The following is a 17470-nucleotide window of genomic DNA, read 5'->3' on the forward strand; positions in this document are numbered from 1 at the left end:
CCCAGTCTGACGACCATGCCAGGGCTCACTTCTGGGTCCTTTTTTCTTCTTTACCTATACACGCTCTCCTTAGGTGACTCCATCCATTTCCACGGCTTTAAATACCATCTTCATGATAATAACTTCCAAATTTCTCTTCAGCACTGACACCCCTGCTGCAGACTCACATCTCCTGCTACTTGACGTCTCCACTTAGATGACTAATGGGCACCTCAACTTAATATATCAAAAAGTCTTAATTTTCCCACCTTACCTCCACGGATGTTCTACCCTTCGTGTTTACCATCTTGAAATGTCATCACCATCCCCCAAATCACTCAAGCCCAAGTCCCAGGAATCCTTTGTAATTCATGTCACCACTTCACCCCCACATTCAGCCCACAAGTGAGTGAGACCTGTGGGTGCTATCCTTCAGAGAGATTCGGAATCTACCTCCTTCTCTTCATCTTCCCTGCTGCTCCAAGTGCGCCAAGCTCCGCCAGTGCTCCCTCTGACTTTGACAGCAGCCTCCTAATTGGTCTCTGTGCTGCCTGTGTTGCTTTCTATAATCTGTCCTCTACGCAGAAGATTGAATGCTCTTTTAAAAATGTAAATCTGAGCATCACTCACCTACTTTAGAACTTCTTAAGACTCCTGCTTTGCTGCTCTTTACAGCATCACCACCACTCACTTTGTCAGTCCTGGAAGGAGCGGCACACAAGCCACTGAATGGTTTTAGAAGAACTTCCACAAGAGCTAAGCACATTCCTTCCATCTCTACCTCATGTTTGGGGTTCAGAAGCTATTTTGGTATGGAGAAAGAGCAAACACTTTGGAGCCAAACACACTCAGGTTAAAATCCTAGCTATGTTATCCGTGATCTCTGTGATTTGGATAAATCGCTTCTCCCTCTAAGGCCCCATCTGTAAAGTGGAAATGCAGATAATGATATCTATTTCACCATATGACCATGGGTACGTGTGAGGTGTCATATGGTGCCCAGCATGCGTTCCATGATGCTGGCTGCTTCTCTCCCCGGTTCCCAATCTGTCACGGGTAATCAGCCATCCCAGGGGTGTGGGGTGGGAAACAGAGGACAGCTTAATAAAGGGGCCTGAAGAGGGAGCAGATTAAAGGCATCTAGAACTTTTTTCTTTCCTGAATTCTTCCGCAGAAATAATGCTCTGTGAGTAATCATGAGCAGAATTCATAAGGGCCACGGAGAACAAAGGGGAATATAAATGTTACATGAGGATAATGGCACCGATCTGAAAGCCCCATGGCGAGGAGTCTCTCTCACTCTGTAATTGTCACCAGGCTGTGTCAGTGCCCACGGCAGGGAGTCACTTCAGAGGGCCTGCCAGGAGGAGGGATGTCATATCTGCGGGGGACACCTGCCCACGGGTCAATCCTGCAATAGTGACAGGCGGGCTTCTGCTGCAAGTGCACCTCCGTGCCAGCTGCTGACAGGGCAGGCAATGCCTGGGGAAGAGAAGGTAAGGGGAGACCAGCCTTTTCTGGGTGCCTTCTGTGGTCAGGATGGTGGGTGCAGCACTTCACCTCTCAGCATCAGCTGGGCCAAACCATGTGCAGTTCTCTGATATGACCGGCTCTTATTGACCATCTGTTTGGAAGACATTTCATCTCCCCTACTCCTTGGAGAAACTCTACAGATAGTACACCCTCCAGGAAGCCCTTTCTGATCTCTCTTCTATTCTAGTCTGGGAGAAGTACCTCTCTATGTTCCATATCCTCCAAGAACTTCCTTCTCTCTCACTATAGCTTAACTTGCTGCCTACACTTTCTGAGCTCCTAGAGGCCAGGGACTATGCCTTTTTTCATCTCTTTTGCATCAACACAAAGCACATTGCTTGGCAATTAGCAAGTACTCAGTCGATGCTAATATAGTAACTTTCTAATGCTACTTTCATAATGAACCTGACATACAGCCTGTGAAATAAGCATCGTAACCTTCACATTTCAAATGAAGAAATGGCATGACAGCAGTAACATAATCACCCAAGGACACGATGCTAATAAATCATGGAGATTGAATGGGAATCATTATGATCATGGTGATAGTTTCAGTTTGCTGAGCACCTACTATGTGCTAGGCCTTGTGCTTGGTTCTCACATGCATTATCTTTTGTCTTCCCACTAACCCTGGAAATTATATATTATCCCCATTGCATATATAGAAAAATGAAGGCCCAGTGAGGTTTATTACCTTCCCAAAATTATATAGATAATGTAGTGGTGAGATGGGTTAGGATCTGGCTATGTCTGATAACCTATTTATGCTCCTATTGCTGTAACATGCTTGTTCCCATTCTATTAATGGGAGGGAAGGTGGATTCAAAGAGGGAATAGTAGATGTGGTTGATGAGTTCAGGGTATGATGGTTGAGTGTCTTCAAAGTCAGTGTATGACATGAACAGACAGAGAATTGTATAATCTTCACTGACAGTCACTTGATTATAGCTTAACCAATGGTAGCTTAACCAATGATAGAAGATAATTAAAACAAAGGATGTGTTCCCCAAAGGGGTTGGGTGGTCAGCACAAGAAAGAGTGCGGTCCAGCAAAATTGATCAGTGTGTAGGGCCAGGAGATGCGATGCTTTGGGGCATGAGTGCAGATGCTGCTTTGTTGTTGCTGCTCTTTGCCAGCCTTCTCTGCTGGAGTTTGGACTATTGAGAGGGAGGTCTTCATTGTTGAGTCCCCAACATCTAGCACGTGAATGGCACATAATAGACATTCAAGAAATATGTCTGTGAACAGGCTGGGCGTGGTGACTCATGCCTGTAATCCCAGCACTTTGGGAGTCCAAGGCAGGTGGATCACGAGGTCAGGAGTTCAAGACCAGCCTGGCCAAGATGGTGAAACCCATCTCTACTAAAAATACAAAAATTAGCCGGGCGTGGCGGCGGGTACCTGTAATCCCAGCTACTCGGGAGGCCAAGGAAGAGGTGCTTGAACCCGGGAGGCGGAAGTTGCAGTGAGCTGAGATTGCGCCACTGCACTCCAGCCTGGGCTAGAGAGAGCAAGACTCCATCTCAAAAAAAAAAAAAAAAAAAAAAAAAAGAAATATATCGGTGGGCACAAATGAACACAATCCTTCTGTTCGCTAAAGGATGTTTTCTGGTCTGTGACTAAATATTTCATTGGGTTTTCCCAAGGGGAGGGGAACTATTTTTGACCTCTGCCAAACCATTCTATGTTGTTGCTATTTTCCATGCTCCATGCTGCTGAAGTACTTTTTAAAAAAAAAGATCATTAGTGAGGCATAATTGATACACAGTAAACTGCATATATTTAAAGCATACAATTTAACACATTTTAGCATATGTAGTGACATGGTCTGAATGTGTCCCCCCAAATTCATGTGGTGGAAACTTAATCCCCAATGCAAGTGTTGAGAGGTGGGGCTTTTGGGAAGTGTTTAGGTCACAAGAGGTCCACCTTCATCATAAGTTAATGCCAGTGTAAAACGGGCTGACTGAGGGAGTTTGGTCCCTTTTCCTCTTCTGTCTTTTCTGTGATGTGAGGACCCAGTGTTTCTTCCCTCTGGAAGGCGCAGCATCAGGGTACCATCTTGGAAACAGAGAACAGCCCACACCAGACAGCAGAACCTCCAGGTGCCTTGATCTTGGACTTCCAGCCTCTAGATCAGTGAGAAATCCATTTCTGTTCTTTGTAAAGTACTTAGTCTCAGGTATGTTGTTATAGCAGCACAAACTAAGAGATATGTATACTGTGAAACTGTCATCACAATCAAGATAGCAAACACATGAATCGGCCCCAAAAGTGTTTCTCCAGGCCCCTTTGATTTTTCTCTCCTGTTCCTTCTGCCATCCTGTCCCCTGGCAACCACTGACTTGCTCTCTGTCACTGTACGTTAGTGTGCACTTCCTAGATTTTTATACAAATGTGTGATATGTTCTCTTTCTTGTCTGGCTCTTTTCACACAGTGTAATTCCTTTGAGATTCATCTGTGTTGGCAAGTGTATCATTCCTGTTCATTGCTGAGTGGTATTCAATTGTGAGGATGTACCACAATTTGTTTATTCACTTCATGAACTTTGGGCTGTTTCCAGTTTTTGGCTATTACAGGTGACGCTGCTATGAAAATTCATATACAGGCCTTTGTATGAACACATGCTTTCATTTCTCTTGGGTAGTGGAATGATTGGATCATATAGTGAGTATGTATTTAACTTTTTTTTTTGAGATGGAGTCTCGCTCTGTCCCCCATGCTGGAGTGCTGTGGCGTGATCTTGGCTCACTGCAACCTCCACTCACTGGGTTCAAACAATTGTGCCTCATTCAGTCTCCCTAATAGTTGGGATTACAGGCATGTGCTACCACGTGTGACTTCTTTTTTTTTTTTGTATTTTTAGTAGAGATAGGGTTTTGCCTTGTTGGCCAGCCTTGTCTCAAATTCCTGGCCTCAAGTGATCAGCCTGCCTCGGCCTCCCAAAGTGCTGGGATTACAGGCGTGAGCTGCCGCACCCAGCCTGTATTTAAGTTTTAGAGACATTGCCAACTCTTTTACAAGGTGGTTGTACTATTTTACATTCTCATCAGCATGTGTAAAATTTCCAATTCCTTCCTTCCGATTCCAGTTCCTTCACATCCTCACCAACTCTGGGTAAGGTCAAATTTTTAAATCTTCTCTATTTGAATAGGTGTGTTAGAGTATCTCCTTGTGGTGTCAATTTGCATTTTTCTAATACTAGTTGAAAAGTTGCTAATGCAAATTGGAAATTGATGTTGAGCCTTCTTTTGACCATGAGAGTGTCTAGCCTGAGGAACAAGCCATCTGACTGACAATGGTATGCTGAAAATACAACATGGAGACCATGGGTCCTTGTTAAGGTCATTGAGCTGTGACTTAACCTGTGCTAGAAAACCTGTTGAGATTTGGGTTATGTGAACTTCCTTATTGCCTAAGCATTCTGAGTCAGGTACTCTGCTCCTCACAGTAGAAAGCATTGTCATTGATTTGCTTGGTTTACCCAGCCTCAATCTCCACAGGCTGGAAGGGGTGAAAGCAACAATGCCTTTCAGCCTAAAAAGGCCCCTGGTGAAATGGTCATGGGGATAAGGACACTTACTTAAATTTTGATAGTTTTCCATAGCCCTTATATCTTTGCTCCAAGCTCCCAAGATTGTCGTGTTATCTTTGTTTTGTAGACGAAGAAACTGATATTTCATTCAAATTAAAGTGTAACAGCTTTGAGATAACAGCTTCAAGTGTGACTCCAGTGAGGATGTTTTGTTGGAGCAGCAATCAAAACCCTGATAGTGAAATTTCAGGCCTGAGCCTGCAAAGGAGAGATAGAATTTGAGGGGAATTAGGACTATTTGTGTGTCCTTGAGAAAAGTCATGTAAGAAATTGTGTGCTATGCTTATCTGGGTGAACCTGTGGCCAGGAATCATGGAGATTCTCCTGGATTCTTGTGGGCTCTGCTGGAGAATGACTTTTGCAATTTTAGAATAGTGTGTGATTTCACAGAAAGCCTGAAGATCTAGAGCAGAAAAGAAGCTGCCTCTGACTTGGGGAGAGGTGGTCCCATTCGACTATCACTCTGTTATGAGGATATTTCTAGTTCCAATGAAGAGGCTTTAGAATAAGGGATGTCTTGGGTTGGGGTCCGCAGTTGCAGATCTCGATATGAGAACTTGCATGCAGGTGATTTCTTAAGAAAGTGCTCTCAGGAGAAGCTAATGAAGGAGTCAGGGAGGGAAGAGGCCAAGCAAGGGTGTGATTTCAGCAAAGTCCTGAGATAGGCACCTTCAGCCTGATCCCATAAAGAAGCTATGGATACCCTCAGCCTCAAAGTGGCCATGCCTTGAGGCAAGGGAAGAGGGTGATCAGTCTCCAGCACTCATGGCTGTGGTCACAGTCAACAGCTAAGGGTTGCCATGAGGGAGATACAAACTCTCAGGCGCATCCCACTTTCCTTGAGCACAGGACAAAGTGGTGCCAGTACCTTGAGGAGACTCCTCTCTTGAAAAGTTTCAGGTTAAGGGTTGCAAACACAAAGCACACTGAAGCCTGGGGAAGGATGCTCAGGAAAGAGTTCCGAGGGGATTTGGGTGGAATACGCCAGTGTCTGCCACAGAGGAGGGGGCCCATCTCCTTCAGGTGGGTCAGAAAACTAAGAAGGGAATATACCACACTCCCCTTATAGGTGAGAAATGTAGAATAAATGCAAAGAGACACAGACCTGGAAGGTGAAGATTAGTGTTTGATTCTTGGCTCTCTTATTCATGATGCAAATATCTTGGGCAAAGCAATTAATCTGAGCCTCAGTTCCTCATCTGTAAAATGGAGTCGATCACACATTTACTTCCCAGGGTGGCTGTGAGTGTTAAATCAGACTAAGTGCTGTGTAACCCATTGTTTAAACATTAGGTATCAATGTTTTGTTTTTTATTGATATATAATAGTTGCATATATTTTGGAGGTGCATCTGATATTTTGATAACTGTATACAATGTATAATGGTCAAATGAGGGAAACTGGGATATCTATCACCTTAAACATTTATCTTTTCTTTGTATTGGGAGCATTACAATTCTCTTCTAGCTATTTTGAAATATACAATAAATTATCGGCTGGGCGTGGTGGCCCACACCTGTAATCCCAGCATTTTGGGGTGCCTAGGTGGGTGGATCACCTGAGATCAGGAGTTCGAGACCAGCCTGACCAATATGGTGAAACCCTGTCTCTACTAACATGGGCAGGGTGGCACATGCCTGTAATCCCAGATACTTGGGAGGCTGAGGCAGGAGAATTGCTTGAACCTGGGAGGTGGAGGTTGCAGTGAGCTGAGATCAGATGGTGCCATTGCACTCCAGCCTGGGCAACAAGAGCAAAACTCCATCCCAAAAAAATAAAATAAAAAGTTGTCAGTGTTTTCTAAACAAAGCTACATCCTGAATGGCTAGTGAGAATTGACTTTTGCTGCAAACCAGGCCATTCCCAGGGGAGATTCTGGGTGAAGGGATGTATCCTGATTTGGGTTAAGGCAGAACCAGACAGGCGCAGGGTTCTGGGTCATGGTGAAAGAAAGTATTGTCCAGCTCCTGTGTTCCGGATGCCACAATAAGACATTTGCTTGTGTTATTTTGTTGACTTGTCTGATAATCCTATAGTTATTTTTCTGTTTTACAGGTGGGGAAACTGCAGCTTAGATAGAGTAAGCTGGATATCTCCTGTCCTTTCTCCAAATCCTTAGCCATGTGCTCGCAGAGCTGACCCCTATGGACTGCTTCCATGGGCCCCCTGGTCCTCTGGCTTCTGGCCGGGTTTGTCAGTGGGAGGACAGTATGCCATGGATTTATGCTGTGGGTTGGCTGTGTCCCTCTACTGAAGGCCACAGCTCTTGTCAGCCAGCTGTCCCCAAACAGTAGCCCCTCCTCTCGGCCCTTGTAGCCTTGAGTCGATAAGCATCCCTGCCTGTCATTCATCCTTTAGCTTTCCTCAAGTCCGGCTCTTCCTTGTAAATAGTCCTTGGTTAAACTCTCCTCACCATACTCAGCTTGAGTGAGACACCTATTTCCTGCTAGGAAACAGAAACCAAGTGATTGACCCGGTCAGATGGCTGGAGCAGTGGAGCTGGGATTGGAGCCCAGGTCTCACTTTAGGCCTGTGCCTTTTCCATGCGGCATCATGGAACTGGTGTGGGGGCGGCGCCTGGATGGCCATCAGTGGGCTGATTAGCTGCGGTTCCCATTTCTGCTACAGTCAACACATCCATGGGTCCAATCAAAGCAAGGAAAAAAAAAATCACCATGCTGAGGAAGACAGAGAAGACCTCGATGGGAGGCAGTGAGTGTGACAGGTGGCCTGTCACTCAAGACCTGCATATGACACGTCTGTAAGTGCAGCTTTCCTTAGAAGTCTGATGGATGCTGAGACAGGAATTCCCTGGAGGGTCATGCCATTGTTGGCCAGCTGTGGCATCATCAGCTGTAACAGATGGAGAGCCCTGCACAGCTGAGCTGACCTTTGCAGCAACAGCCCTTCAATCAGTGCAGGACAGTCTCTCTCCCTCACCTGGCCTCCCCATCTCTACCCCAGGTGAGCATTCCCCAACGGAGGCTCTTCCATAGGCAGATGCAGCTGAGGCTGTCCAACAGGGAGAGCCTTTGCTGCCCTGGGCCAAGGAGCTGAGCCTGAGTGGTTTTGAAGTCCAGGGAAGGACTGGGAGAGGCTGTGCTAATATCTAGCAAGGACACTCAGGGCACTGGCCTGAGGCACTGTGGAGGCAGATTAGTAAAGACGCAGGAGGAAGAATCAGGGCCTCAGTGCAGCAACCTCCCCAGTTATTAAGATCCATATGCTTTTGTTCTTCAGAGAAGATTGTCTTGACACAGAGAGAGAAAAGGGAATTTAAGGGCTTAAGGAAAACTACCACCACCTGATGATATTGGCCAAATTTTATTTTTTCAGGACAGCTGTCCCTCCACCCCATTGAAGGCAACTAGCTTCAATGCATAAAACATAAAGTGAATTTATGTGTATGGCTGTGAAAGAGATGCAGAGAGACAGGGCAAACAGAAGGGAGGTGGGGACATTGAGACAGAGAAAGAGGGAAGAAATGAACACAGAGTGACAGCAAAGCTGAGGGTGTGGGGCAGTGGGGTGAGGGCGAGCAGGCATCAGGGGTGAGTTGGGAAGATCCTGCAAGGAGGAGTGTCCTCAGGAAGGCAAGCTCAGCCCAGGGCCAACTCACTGCTCCTCAGAACCCCTTTCAGTTGATTTTGGAGAGAGGGGTCTAGAAGACCCAAGGAGAATATTGACAAGATCAGCTTCCTAACAAAACAAAAGTTGATTTGTCTATTTAATTTCTTGAATGTTGTATGCCAATTATTTTTTAAAGATATATCTTGTTCTTTTATTGTATAAAGCACATGGAACCAATGCTTGACAAGTTAGAAGCAGGTGTCACATGTCACCTTAATCTCCTGAATAAAAAGCCACCCTGGGCACTAGACCTAGACATGGAGATCTGGCCAGAAGCTTGGGGCTGCCACTCACATAGGGTGCAGCCTCAGGCTGGTTGCTTAGTCCCTCTCAATCCACTTTCTTTATCCCAGACATTGGGCACCATAAATAAAGTGTTGCTGAGGAATGAATGGGAGTGTGCACCTCCAAGTGGGAGGTGTATTAGGCTTAGGGAGGACACAGACCCACAACGCTACAGAGTCCTCAGTGCTGGGATCCTCTCCTAGCCACAGGCCAGGGAGGCTCCTGGGGAAGTTCTGGGTTTTGTCCTTGCTGCCCCCAACCCAGTAGGAAAAAAGAAACAAAGCAAAACAGAGACCTGGGATAAGTTCTAAAGGCACCATAAAACATACATCTTCAGTCCTCTCATGTTTAGGGTTCAAACTGAGGAAGCATATATGCAAAAAACAGAGGTGAAATGAGAAAGTACACCTTTATGACTTTGGGCAAATACATTAGGATTTCTAAAATATGGGGCCTCTGTAAAACTGAGTTGGAGACTATGGCTTCTAATTGAGACGAAAATGGATCTTTCTTCCCCTCCTCCCAGAAATGAAGAACAGCAGGCCTGCAGAGCCGGTGCACTCTGACTTACCCACCCACTCAAGGGCTATAGGAGAGAGCTCAAGAGGGCCAGCCCACTCTGGGCCCAGGTGGCAGAAGAGGCGGTCTGGCCTGTGGACCAGATTCATCAGCTCCGTTTGCTGGCTACCCCCATTGCAGCCCCCTAGGTATCCAGACAAGTTCCATCAACATTGAACATCAAAAGATTCAGGATTTGGGTCTAAATAATTTTATTCTCAAGAGGCTCTTGGGTCCTTAGGCCAATATTCCTGTGTCCTTCTTAGAGGAGAAAGACCACTTTAGTCAAGTTAAAAAAGCCCCAGTGGGCCAGGTGTGGTGGCTCAAGCCTGTAATCCCAGCACTTTAGGAGGCTGAGGCGGGCGGATCACCCGAGGTCAGGAGTTCGAGAAGCCTGGCCAACATGGTGAAACCCTGTCTCTACGAAAAATACAAAAATTAGCTGGGTGTGGTGGCATGTGCCTGTAATCCCAGCTACCCAGGAGACTGAGGCAGGAGAATCACTGGAACCCGGGAGGCAGAGGCTGCAGTGAGCCAAGATTGCGCCACTGCACTCCAGCCTGGGCGACAGAGCAAGACTCCATCTCAAAAAAAAGCTCCAGTGTACCCCTCCCACACTGCACTCTTCCTACTAGCTTTACAAGTAAATAATTAAAAGGGCCACTAAAAGTGGTTTATCTAAAGTTTTGTTGTGTTCTTTATAAATATAGAAAAAAGTAGTAGGCAACTTGCGAATAGTAACAGCTTCTCTCACTTAAAAACAGACCCCAGGACTCTAACTCTGCCCCATCAGACCCCATGCAACATCAATCCTCTAAGACCTTAGAAAACTGTAGCTCACAGCAAAGAGAGATCAGAGAAGGCCTCACAGAGGAGGGATAATCACTATGTGTCTTCAGTAACAGAAAGACTTTAGAAAGAAAGAAAACGAGGTGAGACAGAGATTTTCAGAGGCACAACCTCTTTAAGGTGATTCTCAGAAGTGTGAATGCTCCGTGTGTGTTTGGGGGGTGCTGTGTAGACTGTTTTGTTTGGAGTGGAGGATATGGGAAGGTGCTGGCTTTGCTGCAGAAGGCTTGAGACTGGGAAAGAAGGAGTGTGACAGCAGATGTCTGTGACACCTTGTGTTTTCAACCCGACTGTCGTTATCCATGGGTCACCTGAACCCAGTTGTGACTTAAGCCTGACTACCCCTGCATATCTCAGGCATGGGAGTCAATCAATTCTTTGTGTTCAACTTGTTTGAGTTGGGTTTGTTTCATGTGCAACTGAAATTGCTCTAATTTAGCGATGACTGGAGAGACCAGGGGAATGTGTGTATTGGCTCCACGGTGGGAGACACACAGGGCAAGGGATCCGACAGTCTCTGGTGGATTCCTCCCTGTCTGAGACGATCAGAAGTGTTCATGGATAGAGTGTGGGTGGGGAAGAAATACATATAATTCTAGGAACGTGAAGTTGATTTCCAGTCCCCCTGAGTCCTACAATAGTGGAGCCTCAGTTTCACTATTGTAAGATGCAGAAAATATTGAAATATGGATATTGTCCAAGGGTCAGGTGAAACAAAATGTGTGTAGCAGCTTGGGTGCTCTGCAGTGCTATATACACATGCAAGCAGCGAACACAGCAGGCTCTGCGGGCACTGCACTTTTCCTTTGTACGATACTTGTTTTTCATTTTGTTTTCTTCAATAGTAATCATGGTGACTACACTTTGCACACTGGAGTTTTACTCATCTCAGAGGACCATCCCATGTAGCATCTCGTTTTCTTTCAAGAATACATTTTCCTTTGGGCTCAGGTGGCTGCCATGCCAGGGGGAAGTAGCTGGGAGATCAGGAACTGACATTTAGAAATCATCTCATGTTCTGGGCTTCATGCATATTTAACCTCTTTGAATTGTCTCAACAACACTGTGAGGCTGGGATTACCACTTCCATTCTTAGATGGGAAACAGGGTTTCTGCAGGATTGGTTGACTGGCTTTGGGTCATGCAGCTGGCAATAGTGGGGTCTGGATTCAAATCCAGGCTGGAATGGCAGCAAAGTCCCACCTACAAGTGGGAGTGAGAGGGGAATGGTGTTGGCTCTGTTTTGTGGCTTCATCCAAGAAGAGTCCCAGGGCTCCCAGGGGAGGCATAAAGCAGAAGTGGGATCACACTGCCTCCCTGTCTTCAGCTCCACCAGGACCCTTGGGCCTGCAGTGCTGGTGCCTCTGCTGTGGGGTTGGCACGCACCCTCCTTCCTCACCCCTCTACCTGGATCTCTCTTATATCTTCTCGAGATAGTGGGAACGGTCCCAGTCTCTGTGTAATGAAGGCTTCCTTTTCTCAATCTAAATATTAGCAAAGCCACCTCCCCTTTCTCCCACCTCTCAGGAAGGCTGCTCCAAAGCTGTTGACAACTCAGAAGAGAAAGCGACTCAGGCAGCCGCAAACTTTCTCTGGCAGCTGCCTGAGGGAGCCCAGAGCAGGAGGGCTGCCTGTACCTGTAAGAAAGCCAAATACTCTCCAGTTGTTTTTGTTTTTAAGAAAAAAGTTTAAACAAGCCCCCACACACCCTCTTCTTACAGGGAATACATTATAAATGTATCTTTTTCCCTGGGGGAAGACTGTTGGTGGAGTTTGCTCCCCTGCGCATATCAGTGCTGCTAGACCAGGAAGCCGGCCCACACTATGTATATTGATATATATATATATTAATAAAATATTGTATATGCTAGTATAATCCCACCTACTGCACACTGGGCATTGTGCCAGATATTAAAGGCATGAAGGTGACTTCAGATATAATTCTTGATTTTAAGAAGGTCACGGCTCATAAGGATGTGGGATGGGAGACAAACAGGCAAATAGGAGACTGTAGTCAAGGATGACACAAGTTTGTGGAGGGTGCCGGGGGGCATGGAGGGAGGGTGAGATGGTGGATGGTCACCTTGCCTTGGAAGGGAGGCTGGGAGAGCTAGAAACTGAAAAGTGTATAGGAAGTAGGAGCTAGCCCGGTGCAGGAGTGGTGAATAGGAGGTGGGGAGGAAAGAGTGCTCCAGCAGAAGAAACAGCCCAGCCAAAGGCTCAGAGGCAAGAAAGAGCATTGCTTTGGGAGTATGAAAAGATCTTGGCTAGTTCTCAATGTGTTACTCTTTCTAAGTAGGTATGAGGTCCACTCTGGGAACTTTGTGGTTAAGTGTGTGTAAGGAAATGGAATGCTACCGACCAGCAACCTTATGGTGTGTGGCAATTTACAAACCCTTCTGAGGCTAACATCTCAGTGGGGCTTGCAATGGTTCTGTGAAGTAGGGCTGTCTGATGTTGTTACAGTTCCAACTTTACACCTGGGAAAACCAAAGTTTAGGAAATGGTCATGTCCCTTCTGAGATTAACAATGTTCCATTGTTTCCCCACACTTTATATAGGTTTCTTTTGCTGTGTAGCAAATTGACACAAACTTAGTAGGTTTAAATTACACATATTTATTATCTCAGTTTCTGCAAGACCGGAGTCTGAGCATACCTTAGCTGGCTTCTCTGCTTCAGAATTTCACCAGGCTGCAGTTAAGGGGACCCCTTAATGTCTGCCTGTCTCACACTTCTACCCCTTTTTCTATGCAGGAATTCAGGACCAGCCAGGGCAACATAGTGAGACCCCATCTCTATTAAAAGTAAAAAATTAGCCAGTGGTGTGCATCTGTAGTCCAAGCTACTTGGGAGGGTAAAGTGGGAAGATCACTTAAGTGGGGGAGGTGGAGGCTGCTGTGAGCTGTGATTGCACCACTGCAGCCTGCAGCCTGGGCAACAGAGTGAGACCCTATCTCATAAAAAAAAAATAAAAATAAAAAATAAAAAAGAACCTTCCCAGGTGTGATGGTTAACATTGAGTGTCAAGTTGATTGGATTGAAGGATGCAAATTATTGTTCCTGGGTGCATCTGTGAGGGTGTTGCCAAAGGATATTAACATTTGAGTTGGTGGACTGGGAGAGGCAGACCCACCCTCTATCTGGATTGGCACCATCTAATCAGCTGTCAGCATGGCTAGAATAAAGCAGGCAGAAGAAAGTGGAATGAGAGACTTGTTGAGTCTTCTGGCCTTCATCTTTCTCCTGTGTTGGATGCTTCCTGCCCTCGAACATCAGACTCCAAGTTCATCAACTTTTGGACTCTTGGACTTATACCAGTGATTTGCCAGGGGCTCTTGGGCCTTTGGCCACAGACTGAAGGCTGTACTGTCAGCTTCCCTACATTTGAGGTTTTGGGACTTGAACTGGTTTCCTTGCTCCTCAGCTTGCAGACAGCCTATTGTGGGACTTCACCTTGCGATGGTGTGAGACAATTCTCCTAATAAACTCCCCTTCCTATATACATATATCCTATTAGTTCTGTCCCTTTAGAGAACACTGACTAATACACCTGGGCTCTCTGTGGCCAGCCCCACCCATTCTCCAAATTGCAGCTTCAGCTTTAGAAGCCTCCCAAATGCCTCTTGCTACGTTTGTGGTGCTGGTGCCCTTCCCTGTCCCATTCCCACTGTGGCAGTTACCAGGAGATACTGAGCTCTTACTGTTGATTTGCAAGTCTCTCACCCTCTAGGTGGGGACTGAGCCTTCTTTTCACTTTGGCATCTCCAGTGGCTGATGATGGTCACTGTTCAGTAAGTATTTGTGATTGATGAAATTGACCAACTAAGTGATTTGCTTCAAGTCCCAAGTCTATTTAGGGACTTGGTCTCAATTCCAGGTCTTACTTTACTACACCTTCACCTCTTCAATTTCTCAAAAATCCAAATCAAAGTATAGTATCATAGATACCCCTGTTGGAGCTAATTAGGTTGAAAGGGCCAGCTCCCCATAAGACATGATGGCAATGGGTGATAATATATAACATTTAAATTGTGTTATTTTTCAAAGCACTGTGATATTCAATATCCCACAGATTTCCTTCAGTGTCCAACTGGGTTTAGCCCCTCATCTGTAGTTTAAGTAACAGAAGCACAGACAGATGAAATGATTTGCTTAAATGTACACAGAGAAAAGAAACACAAAGCTGTGACTCAATCCAGGGCTTCTGACTCCAGTCATTCATCAAATGCTTACAGTGTGCCAGTTCTGTGTTAGGCATCACTGGGGATGCAGATATAAATAGGATTACTGTCTTACCCACATACAGTTAATGCCCCCTCAAGATGAAAATAAATAGCTAAGATTGTAAATATAAGACAAATTGGCAAGTGTAGTGATGGAGTGAGGCACAATAGGTTTTGAGAAGTAAGATGAGAAATATAGCACCTAGGAGGGGAAGGGGTGTCCTTAAAGTATGCACATAAAGTCACTGAGAGTTAGTAGGCAAAGGAGAGCAGAAAGGGCATTCATAGGCTGGGTGTGGTGGCTCCCTCCTGTATTCCCAGCAGTTTGGGAGGCTGAGGCAGGAAGACTGCTTGAGTCCAGGAGTTCGAGACCAGCCGAGGCAACATAGCAAGACCCTGTCTCTACAAAAAGTAAACAATTAGCCAGACATGGTGGTGCACTCCTGTAGTCACAGCTCCTTGAGAGGCTAAGGTGGGAGGACTGCTTGAACCTGGGAGGTTGAGGCTGCAGTGAGTCATGATCCTGCCACTGCACTCAGCCTGGGCAATAGAGTGAGACCCTATCTTAAAAAAAATAAAAAGAAAAAAACAAAAACAAAAACAAAGGACATTCACGGAAGAGAAGAGCCAGAGCAAAAGCCTGCAGAAAGGAATACTAATATGATGTATTTGGTGAATTTTGAGAAGTCTGGAGTCAAACTGGAGACAAATGGCAGATAAAGCATCTAAGACACCCTCTTTTCTCTTTCTCCCTCTTGTTTCTAGAGCCTCTTCCTCTCATCAAGGCCACCCCCTCCACTTGTCCTCTGAAATCTATCCTCTCCCGCCTTCTCATAGTTTCACTCTGGTGGTTTTCCCTTTTTCTCCTGCATCTGCAGCCTACCTCTCCCTCTCAGTTTTCATTGATTCCTTTCAACCCACTCTGGGCTGGCTTTGACTGCCCACATACCCCACCCTCTGCAATGTGCCAGGACTGGTCTTCATCAGCCCACCCATGACCAGACATGGTGCTGAATTGTTGAATACTTGGGAGCCCTCTCCTTACAGGAGCTCTCGTGCTGTTGAGTACAGCAATCTTTCCTTCCAGCACATTCCCCTCACCGAGTTCCTGGTACCACTCTCTCTGGGTTACTGTTCAACATTTCCAGTTGCTCACTGTCTGTCATTGCTCTTTTGTTGTGTTTCCTCCCCTACTCTTTGCAGTCCTCTGCCATCTTCTCTTCCCCTTATCTCAGAAGTAGGGAAGGGCAGCCTATGCAGAGGCTCTGAGGTGCAGATCTCCTCATGTTTGATGACCGGGCAGGAGAAGGCCTGCATGACGAGAGCTCAGTTGGTGACAGGGTGAGTTGAGTCTCAGCTGATGCTGGAGACATTGGCAGAACGAGGTCATGTTGGCTCTTGTAGGCCATTGATTAAAAATTGCATTTATTTGATAAAATCAGAAGTCTTTAAAGATACTTGAAGAAGCAGGGGACAAATATTATTCTCTGTGTTGCTCTGATTCCTCTGAGGAAACTTGGCAGGAAGGAGCAAGAGTGGAGGCAGAGAGATCAGATGAGGTACATTAAATACAGAAATGACAGTGTTCACTGATGGGCTAAAGGTGGGGGCCGGTCAGTGAAGAGCCGCCCTGGTTTCTCTGTTGTTCTTCTAATAGCACAAAACAATTTCCTTCTCTTTTTTAAGGACAAGGCCAATATGAGGCCAAAGTCCCGATGGATTTGTCCAGTAAAGGAAAAACAGGCCATGCTTAGGTTTGAGCAGTTAATTACTTATATAGTGAAAGGAAAAGCAGCCAAAGATGCCTCTCCCTGTGGTCTTTGTTCCACATACCAAGAAGTCCTAAGCCATAGGGGCCAGAGGACAATGCAACACAAGTGGTGGGATACCCATGGCTGAGTGCAGCAACGTGGTTCTATCTATTCTCAGCCATACCCTAGAGGGGTGGGGTAAGAGGCCTTATAACTCATCAGAACTCGAGAGGTCATGAGAAAGTGCCTCCAGACAGCCTCTCGGGCAGATGGGGAGGTGAGTCACAGGAACTTGAGTAGCCCCTTATAAGCTATCCATCCTCCCCTGTTCTGGAAGGATCCATAAATGTTCCGCCAAGACTCAGACTAAGTTGGGGCTTTGTCTACCTGCTTTAAGTAGATACATGTGAGGTCAACAGGACACCCTGGAGGAACCTAAATTCTTTAGTATCACTTACTGCAATTGGAATTAATATGATAGGAAACACACAGCACTTAACTATGTTCCATGTGCTTTACACATACTAACCCATTTAATATGGTTTGGCTGTGTTCCCACCCAAATCTCATCTTGAATTGTAGTTCCCATAATCCCCATCTGTCATGGGAGGGACCTGGTGGGAGGTAATTGAATCATGGGGGCAGTCACCCTCATGCTGTTCTCGTGATAGTGAGTGAGTTCTCATGAGAACTGATGGTTTTATATGGGGCTTTTGCCCCTTTTGCTCAGCACTTCTCCTTGCTGCTGCCATGTGAGGAAGGACATGTTTGCTTCCCCTTCCACCATGATTGTAAGTTTCCTGAGGCCTCCCCAGCCATGCTGAACTGTGAGTCAATTAAACCTCTTTCATTTATAAATTACTCAGTCTCAGATAGATCTTTATAGCAGCATGAGAACAGACTGATACACCATCTATTGAATCTTCATAGCAATCCTCTGAGGTAGGTGCTATTTTTATCTCCATTTTTCAGATGAGAACCCTGAGTTGCACAGATAATACATAATCTGCCCAAGCTAGTAAGGGGTGGAGCTGAATTTGAACCATGAGGGAGGGCATTATGTC

General features: G+C 45.9%; 1 annotated feature.

The window, feature by feature from the left end:
• Positions 16060–17259: an enhancer, noted in NCBI's record as "CDK7 strongly-dependent group 2 enhancer chr8:135976682-135977881 (GRCh37/hg19 assembly coordinates)". NCBI's record gives its function as "activates an origin of replication core promoter dependent on BRD2, BRD4, P300/CBP, MED14 and CDK7 cofactors, with strong dependence on CDK7, by STARR-seq in HCT116 cells {active_cell/tissue: HCT116}" and the evidence as "EXISTENCE:reporter gene assay evidence [ECO:0000049][PMID:35650434]".

Source organism: Homo sapiens, chromosome 8 (genome assembly GCF_000001405.40).
Source record: "Homo sapiens chromosome 8, GRCh38.p14 Primary Assembly".
NCBI classification, from domain to species: domain Eukaryota; kingdom Metazoa; phylum Chordata; class Mammalia; order Primates; family Hominidae; genus Homo; species Homo sapiens.